The following is an 8,944-nucleotide window of genomic DNA, read 5'->3' as shown; positions in this document are numbered from 1 at the left end:
GGGAACTGGACACCTGGATGCTGCAGAGGAAGAGCAAAGCTCAACATCAACTTGGACAGTTTGCCAACCTGTTTGTGGTAAGTTGATGTCATTTGTGACCACTCCTAATGTGTGCCAGGAATAAGCTATTCCTGATGCCAGAATCTCTTACTGTCAGTGCCCTCTGTAGGCCTTCTGATCCTTACTCCTTGCTCCACCCATTGTTTATATCATGTAGTTCTCTCTCAGACCCTGATATAAAGCTCCTACTCTGTCTGACCTGACAAGCCACCTCAAGTGGACAAGGCACTTACCAACAGGTAAAGGGGCATTACAGGAGAAGAGCATGTCTAACGTGGGATTTTCTCTTTTCATTTTGAGGTAGATACAGGGTGATTTTCTGAATAAAAGATCCCAGTAGTAATGAAACTTAAGCAAGACCAAAGCTGATTTCGGGTAATTTGGCCTCTGTTATCCCCAAACCAAAAGAGAAATATCTGGGAGTGTAGCTATCTCAGTGGACCTTTCGGCTCACAGGAATTCAGAGAGGAGAGGATGTTAGAAAGATAACAGGTGCTCTGCTCTCTTCTTCAAACCCTCTTCCCTGTGTTCTCCTACAGAGATTGCTGATTTGCTCCTTAAGCAAGAGATTCACTGCCGCTAAGCATGGCTCAGACCAACTCGTTCTTCATGCTGATCTCCTCCCTGATGTTCCTGTCTCTGAGCCAAGGTGAGATTTTCCCCCACACTTCCCACAACCCCAACTCTGAATTCTTCCCTCCATCCTCATGTATAAGGTTCACTTGAAAAAAAGCAGAGTCAACATCAGGGTTTTTTTATGTTGTTCAGTGATCATTATGGCTGATTTTATCCCATTCAAAAACACCCTCACCTCATTCATGGGTTTGAGACAGAATTTAATAGGACCACTTATAGGTGACCATTGTGGTTGAGTTTATCTGATTGAATCTATATGCGATGGCAGTTTGGGGGATGTTTTTATGTAGTCATTGCTAGGATGGAGAGCTAAGGCAAACGTGTGCAGGGAAACCGAGAGAAACTTGAGAAAGGAGGAAGCCTGGGTCTTTAAAGGCAGAAGCCTCAGCCTCAGAATTAAAGGAAAACGAGGACTCATTTATTTAGCCTATTCATTGTGAGCTCTTGTCTTGAGCAGAGGAAACTAGAGAGAAAAGAGATAGGATGCAGGAGGGCAGAAGTGAGCAATCGCCCCAGTATTCACTGTATCCATATGTTCTTATAAAGGACACCAAGAAGCCCCTAATTCACCTTCCAGCCTTTTCCTTGCCCTGCGATTCTTTCTTAATTATCTCCTTTTTTTTTTCCCCAGGCCAGGAGTCCCAGACAGAGCTGCCTAATCCCCGAATCAGCTGCCCAGAAGGCACCAATGCCTATCGCTCCTACTGCTACTACTTTAATGAAGACCCTGAGACCTGGGTTGATGCAGATGTGAGTGAGGAGAGCAGCAGGGGAAGGGAGGCTTATGAAGGTAGAGGCAGCTGCTAATTTGCAGTGTGTTCTGTGGCTGCAATGAGATAAGATTGATCCCTTCCCTATTCCACCACTGGTCCCAAACTTCCCAATCTACTTTATCCCATCATTTGACACATTCCCAGCACAGAGATGCTGGTGGTCAGTGACAGCATCATCAGGGACATTTCTGTGCTGTCCTTTTTCTGTTACATCCTCTGGAAGGTCTCAGTATATCCCTCACACCTTCCTTCTCCACTGAGTGCTCCATTTTCTTCTCCAACAGCTCTATTGCCAGAACATGAATTCAGGCAACCTGGTGTCTGTGCTCACCCAGGCGGAGGGTGCCTTCGTGGCCTCACTGATTAAGGAGAGTAGCACTGATGACAGCAATGTCTGGATTGGCCTCCATGACCCAAAAAAGGTCAGTCTGCAGCCACCTCTATCTCCTTATAAACATTTTTGAGAGGTAAGAGGGACGTTTAAGGTCTGGCACCGCAATCACCAACTTTTATCTTTTTGTTTGTTTAAATAAAAGCAACCTCTTTATAGATCCTATAATGTATGAGTTGTGAAGTTCAGTGTAGGTAGTTAGAGACATGAGCTGAAGGCTGAATTTTCTGGGCTCTGGGAATTCATGCACCCACTCATTGTGTCTACTTCTAGAAATGCATCTTTATGTACAACTTTTTCCCTATTTTGCTATTGTCTGTCTTGGAAGAGGTCCCTCTGTAGACTATATAGAAAATGAGTAGTGGAGGAGAATCTACTGCTGGCATTTGTTATACATTTTATACAAGTGTATAAAACTGTACAGTATATTATTTAGTTTAACACTATAAACTAAATAATATATCAACGACTACTCTACAGCCAATGTTATGCTGGATATGAGAGTTCTGAGATTCAGGAAAAAAATCAGAAACCACTCTCTTTAATGGGCTTTTATGGGTCTCTGTATCAAATTCTGAACACTTATTATTTGCTGGAAGAGGAGGAGGAATTCGGACATTCTAGAGAAGGAGAAGCTTAGAGCAAAAGCAGAGGAAATGATATGATATTCATGGTGACAACAATGTTTATTCTTTCTGCTATAACTTGGCCTGTTTCTGAGTGTGCACACAGGCCTGGTTATTCTATTGATTTTTGAGTGACCATGGCCCCTGTTCTGGCCCTTCTCCATCTAGAACCGCCGCTGGCACTGGAGTAGTGGGTCCCTGGTCTCCTACAAGTCCTGGGACACTGGATCCCCGAGCAGTGCTAATGCTGGCTACTGTGCAAGCCTGACTTCATGCTCAGGTGAGAGGCAGACAATCTATCCACCTGTTGCCATTTCCTTCCCACTTATCTCTGGGGATGAACATGGGGACTGGGATAGAGGAAAGGTAAGCTCCTTATCTGGAAAATAAAGAAGTATTTCCTCTAGTTTTTTGTTCTGAGTCCTAGGTTGAGGAGGGGCTACACTCCTTCTGATCCTCTATGTCTGACACTTCTCATTGTACCATAGGATTCAAGAAATGGAAGGATGAATCTTGTGAGAAGAAGTTCTCCTTTGTTTGCAAGTTCAAAAACTAGAGGAAGCTGAAAAATGGATGTCTAGAACTGGTCCTGCAATTACTATGAAGTCAAAAATTAAACTAGACTATGTCTCCAACTCAGTTCAGACCATCTCCTCCCTAATGAGTTTGCATCGCTGATCTTCAGTACCTTCACCTGTCTCAGTCTCTAGAGCCCTGAAAAATAAAAACAAACTTATTTTTATCCAGTGTTCTGTCTTCTGCATTTGCTCTTTCTACAGCCCATGCTTGGGTGGTTGGGGTGGGAATGATTGTCACACTCCAGAGCTTGCCATGGCCCATCCACTTGTTAAAACCCCACTCACATTTTATGTATGTCAGGCTTATGAACATGTGGTGGCCTTGTTTATGACAAGATAAAAAGATTAAGATTTCATCCACAACACATGTTAGCATGAACCTAGTGTGAATTACACAAATAATTAAATTGTTGATCCAGTCTGACTGGAGTATTTAATATTCCAGAAGAATTCGCATAGTTGGGGTCTGAGGAGAACACATCTGTTCTTGGTTATGCAATTTGAAGTCATGACTGAAATGATAACTTAAGGAGAATTGTCAGGTCTGCGGTCCTGAGTGCATTAGTGGTACATTTTTGGAGGCCAGCCTGCAAAGTTTGTTAAATGCTACTCCTTGGATGAATGAATAAGTGAATGATCAATTATGTAAATTAAATATACAGGCATACTTAATCATCTCTTTAAATATCCTAACTCTCAATAAAGTTAAATTCTGAAATATTACTCTTAGGACTTTCACAAATTAATTGTGCAGGGACACAGTTCAGCCCATAACATCAATCATATCAATAATAGAGTTAAATGTGATTTGATAACAAAGGAAACAAATTGTCATCCTGGATTAAAGTAACAACAATGAAAACAAGATTCAACTGTATGCTATGTATGAGAGACATGAGTTAAATTAAGACACAAATAGCTTGAAAATAAAAGGAAGGAAATAGACATATCTTGCAAACAGAAACCATAAGAACACTGGTTTCTGTACTGTTACCCAGTGTAATGCCTATATGAGATTGCTGAATTTCTACCCTGTCTGAACTCTGCTTATCTTTAAGAAACAGAATGCCTGTGGTAAAAAGTTTCCTTTATAACTAGTCCAGCTGATACTGGTTAGAATCAAGATCACCATCAAAGGACCTCAGAAAGACATCTGGTTCATTATAATCTCATTTCCATGCTAAATGACACTCCTACCAGCACAATGACAGCTGACAATCACCATGACAATGGCCAGAAGAAGCAATAAAGGTACAAAAAGGAAGCACACTCTGGTTCCTAGGAAGTTCACAACCTATTTCCAGAAAAGACATGAATATTCCTCCCTTTGTTTTTAATGCCCAGTCCTTTCATTGGAGAAACCCTATATTTTAACCACTTTACCCCTCACTAGCAGAGAAGCCAATTTGTGAGTCATGTTCCTGCTTCTCAATTCCATGGCCATCAAATAAATCCTGCAGTGCTTGACACTCACTTTCTGTTTCATGTATTGGCTTTGTGACACCAAATAGGGAAAGACTCCATCTTTTGGGGGACTGGTTTTGTCTGCAATGATACTAATATCAGACATATTTGACTTTAAAGCAAAAATGTTACTTGAGAAGAAAAGGAGTATTTTATAATAATAAAGTAGTTAATTCTTCAGGAAGATGTCTCAAAATACCTGAAACAGGTGGAACCCACTGCAGTGTGACAAAGCCGCTATAACCAGACTGCCCCTCCGGATTCCTCCTCTCTGGGGAGGACATCTCTGAAAGAAAGGCAGCAGCCTCAGTCAGGGGCTTATAGATAAACTCCCATCTCCCTGGGACAGAGCACCTGGGGGAAGGGGCAGCTGTGGGCCAAGCTTCAGCAGACTTAACCTTTCCTGTCTGCTGGCTCTGAAGAGAGCAGCGGGTCTCCTCGCACAGCACGCAAGCTCTGCTAAAGGACAGATTGCCTTCTCAAGTGGGTCCCTTACTCCAGTGCCTGATGACTGGGAGATACCTCCCAGCAGGAGTTGACAGACACCTCATACAGGAGAGCTCCAGCTGGCATCTGGCCAGTGCCTCTCTGGGACAAAGATTCCAGAGGAAGAAGCAGGCAGCAATATTTGCTGTTCTGCAGCCTCCGCTGGTGAGACACAGGCAAACAGGGTCCGGAGTGGACCTCCAACAAACTCCAGCAGACCTGCAGAAGAGGGGCCTGACTCTTAGAAGGAAAACTAACAAACAGAAAGCAATAGCATCAATATCAACTAAAAGGACACCCAGGAAAATCACCATCCGAAGGTCACCAACATTAAAGACCAAAGATAGATAAATCCATGAAGATGAGAAAAAAACAAGCGCAAAAAGGATGAAAATTCCAAAAACCAGAAAGCCTCTTCTCCTCCAAAGGATCACAACTCCTCATCAGCAAGGAAACAAAACTGGATAGACAATGAGTTTGATGAATTGACAGAAGTAGGCTTCAGAAGGTGGGTAATAACAAACCCCTCTGAGCTGAAAGAGCATGTTCTAACCCAATGCAAGAAAGCTAAGAATCTTGATAAAAGGTTACAGGAACTGGTAACTAGAATAACTAGTTAGAGAAGAACATAAATGATCTGATGGAGCTGAAAAACACAGCACGAGAACTTCATGAAGCGTACGCAAGTATCAATAGCTGAATCAATCAAGCAGAAGAAAGGATATCAGAGATTGAAGATCAACTTAATGAAGTCAAGAGTGAAGACAAGATTAGAGAACAAAGAATGAAAAGGAAAGAACAAAGCCCCCAAGAAATATGGGACTATGTGAAAAGACCAAACCTACGTTTGATTGGTGTACCTGAAAGTGACAGGGAGAATGGATCCAAATTGGAAAACATACTTCAGGATATTATCCAGGAGAACTGCCCCAGCCTAGTAAGAGAGGCCAACATTCAAATTCAGGAAATACAGAGAAGACGGCAAAGATACTCCTTGAGAAAAGCAGCCCCAAGACACATAATTGTTGGATTCATCAAGGTTGAAATGAAGGAAAAAATGTTAAGGGCAGCCAGAAAGAAAGGCCAGGTTACCCACAAAGGGACACCAATCAGACTAACAGAGGATCTCTCTGCAGAAATCCTGTGAGCCAGAAGACAGTGGGGGCCAGTATGCAACTTTCTTAAAGAAAAGAATTTTCAACCCAGAATTTCATATCCAGTCAAACTAAGCTTCATAAGCAAAGGAGAAATAAAGTCCTTTACAGACAAGCAAATGCTGAGGGATTTTGTCACCACCAGGCCTGCCTTACAAGAGCTCCTGAAGGAAGCACTAAATATGAAAAGGAAAACTGGTACCAGCCACTGCGAAAACATACCAAAATGTAAAGACAATCGACACTATGAAGAAACCACATCAACTAATGGGCAAAATAACCAGCTAGCATCATAATGACTGGATCAAATTCACACATAACAATGTTAGCTTTAAATGAAAATGGGCTAAATGCCCCAATTAAAAGACACAGACTGGCAAACTGGATAGAGTCAAGACCCATCTGTGTGCTGTATTCAGGAGACCCATCTCATGTGCAAAGACACACACAGGCTCAAAATGAAGGGATGGAGGAATACTTACCAAGCAAATGGAAAGCCCAAAATAAAAAAAAAAAAGCAGGGGTTGCAATTCTCATCTCTGATAAAACAGACTCTAAACCAACAAAGATAAAAAAAGACAAAGAAGAGCATTACATAATGGTAAAGGGATCAATGCGCCAAGAAGAGCTAACTATCCTAAATATATATGCACCCAATACAGGAGCACCCAGATTCATTGAGCAAGTTCTTAGAGACCTACAAAGAGACTTAGACTCCCACACAATAATAGTGGGAGATTTCAACACCCCACTGTCAATATCAGACAGATCAACGAGACAGAATATTAACAAGGATATTCAGGACTTGAACTCAGCTCTGGACCAAGTGGACCTAATAGACATCTAGAGAACTCTCCACCCCAAATCAACAGAATATACATTCTTCTCAGCACCACATCACACTTATTCTAAAATTGACCACATAATTGGAAGGAAAACACTGCTCAGCAAATGCAAAAGAATGGAAATCATAAGAGCCTCTCAGACCACAGTGCAATCAAATTAGAACTCATGATTAAGAAACTCACTCAAAACTGCACAACTGCATGGAAACTGAACAACCTGATCCTGAATGACTACTGGGTATATAATGAAACTAAGGCAGAAATAAATAAGTTCTTTGAAACCAATGAGAAGAAAGACACAATGTATCAGAATCTCTGGGACACAGCTAAAGCAATGTTTACAGAAAAATTTACAGCACTAAATGCCAACAGGAGAAAGCGAGAAAGATCTAAAATTGACACCCTAGCATCACAATTAAAAGCACTAGAGAAGCACGAGCAAACAAATTCAAAAGCTAGCAGAAGACAAGAAATAACTGAGATCAGAGCAGAACTGAAGGAGATAGAGACACAAAAATCCCTTCAAAAAATCAATGAATCCAGCTGGTTTTTTTGAAAAGATTAACAAAATCGATAGACCTCTAGCCAGACTAGTAAAGAAGAAAAGAGAGAAGAATCAAATAGACACAATAAAAAATGATAAAGAGGAGATCACCACTGATCCCACAGAAATACAAACTACCATCAGAGAATATTACAAACACCTCCACACAAATAAACTAGAAAATCTAGAAGAAATGGATAAATTCCTGGACATATACACCCTTCCAAGACTAAACCAAAAAGAAGTCAAATCCCTGAATAGACCAATAACAAATTCTGAAATTGAGGCAGTAATTAATAGCCTACCAACCAAAAAAAATCCCAGGACCAGATGGATTCATAGCTGAATTCTACCAGAGGTATAAAGAGGAGCTGATACCATTCCTTCTGAAATTATTCCAAACAATAGAAAAAGAGAGGCTACTCTCTAACTCATTTTATGAGTCCAGCCTCATCCTGATACCAAAACCTGGCAGAGACACAACAAAATGAAGAAAATTTCAGGCCAATATCCCTAATGAACATCGATGCAAAAATCTTCAATAAAATACTGGCAAACTGAATCCAACAGCACATCAAAAAGCTTATCCACCATGATCAAGTCAGCTTCATCCCTGGGATGCAAGCTTGGTTCAATATACACAGATCAATAAATGTAATCCAACACATAAACAGAATCAATGACAAAAACCACATGACTATCTCAATGGATGCAGAAAAAGCCTTTGATAAAATTCAGCACCACTTAATGCTAAAAGCACTCAATAAACTAGGTATTGATGAACTACATCTCAAAATAGTAAGAGCTATTTATGACAAACCCACAGCCAATATCATGCTGAATGAGCAAAACTGGAAGCATTCCTTTTGAAAACCAGCACAAGACAAGGATGCCCTCTCTCACCACTCCTATTCAACATAGTGTTGGAAGTTCTGGCCAGGGCAATCAGGCAAGAGAAAGAAATAAAGCGTATTAAAATAGGAAAAGAGGAAGTCAAATTGTCTCTATTTGCAGGTGACATGATTGCATATTTAGAAAACCCCATCATCTCAGCCCAAAAACTCCTTAAGGTGATAAGCAATTTCAGCAAAGTCTCAGGATACAAAATCAATGTGCAAAAATCACAAACATTTCTATACACCAATAATAGACAAACAGAGAGCCAAATCATGAGTGAACTCTCATTCACAATTGCTACAAAGAGAATAAAATACCTAGGATAAAGCTTACAAGGTATGTGAAGGACATTTTCAAGGAGAACTACAAACCACTGCTCAACGAAATAAGAGAGGACAAAAACAAATGGAAAAACATTCCATGCTCATGGATAGGAAGAATCAATATCGTGAAAATGGCCATAACGCCCAAAGTAATTTATAGATTCAAT

At 40.9% G+C, this 8,944-nt stretch overlaps 1 protein-coding gene across 1 annotated transcript; it reads left to right on the top strand.

The window, feature by feature from the left end:
• Positions 1 to 264: 264 nt before the first annotated feature.
• Positions 265 to 3,235, top strand: REG1B (regenerating family member 1 beta). The gene is made up of 6 exons (NM_006507.4): positions 265 to 299; positions 600 to 709; positions 1,328 to 1,446; positions 1,754 to 1,891; positions 2,655 to 2,766; positions 2,975 to 3,235. The coding sequence occupies exons 2-6, from the start codon at positions 646 to 648 to the stop codon at positions 3,040 to 3,042; spliced, it is 501 nt and encodes a 166-aa protein (NP_006498.1). The 5' UTR covers positions 265 to 299; positions 600 to 645; the 3' UTR covers positions 3,043 to 3,235.
• Positions 3,236 to 8,944: the final 5,709 nt, after the last annotated feature.

This window comes from Homo sapiens, chromosome 2 (genome assembly GCF_000001405.40).
Source record: "Homo sapiens chromosome 2, GRCh38.p14 Primary Assembly".
Classification (NCBI taxonomy): Eukaryota; Metazoa; Chordata; class Mammalia; order Primates; family Hominidae; genus Homo; species Homo sapiens.
This window is presented reverse-complemented; position numbering and strand designations above follow the sequence as displayed.

What these genes read in the sequence shown, in the direction of transcription:
- REG1B (NM_006507.4), top strand. Translation starts at nt 646, where the DNA reads ATGGCTCAGACCAACTCGTTCTTCATGCTGATCTCCTCCCTGATGTTC. An exon ending in AGACCTGGGTTGATGCAGAT is followed by an intron (nt 1,447 to 1,753) that starts GTGAGTGAGGAG and finishes CTTCTCCAACAG; the next exon opens with CTCTATTGCCAGAACATGAA. An exon ending in AAGCCTGACTTCATGCTCAG is followed by an intron (nt 2,767 to 2,974) that starts GTGAGAGGCAGA and finishes ATTGTACCATAG; the next exon opens with GATTCAAGAAATGGAAGGAT.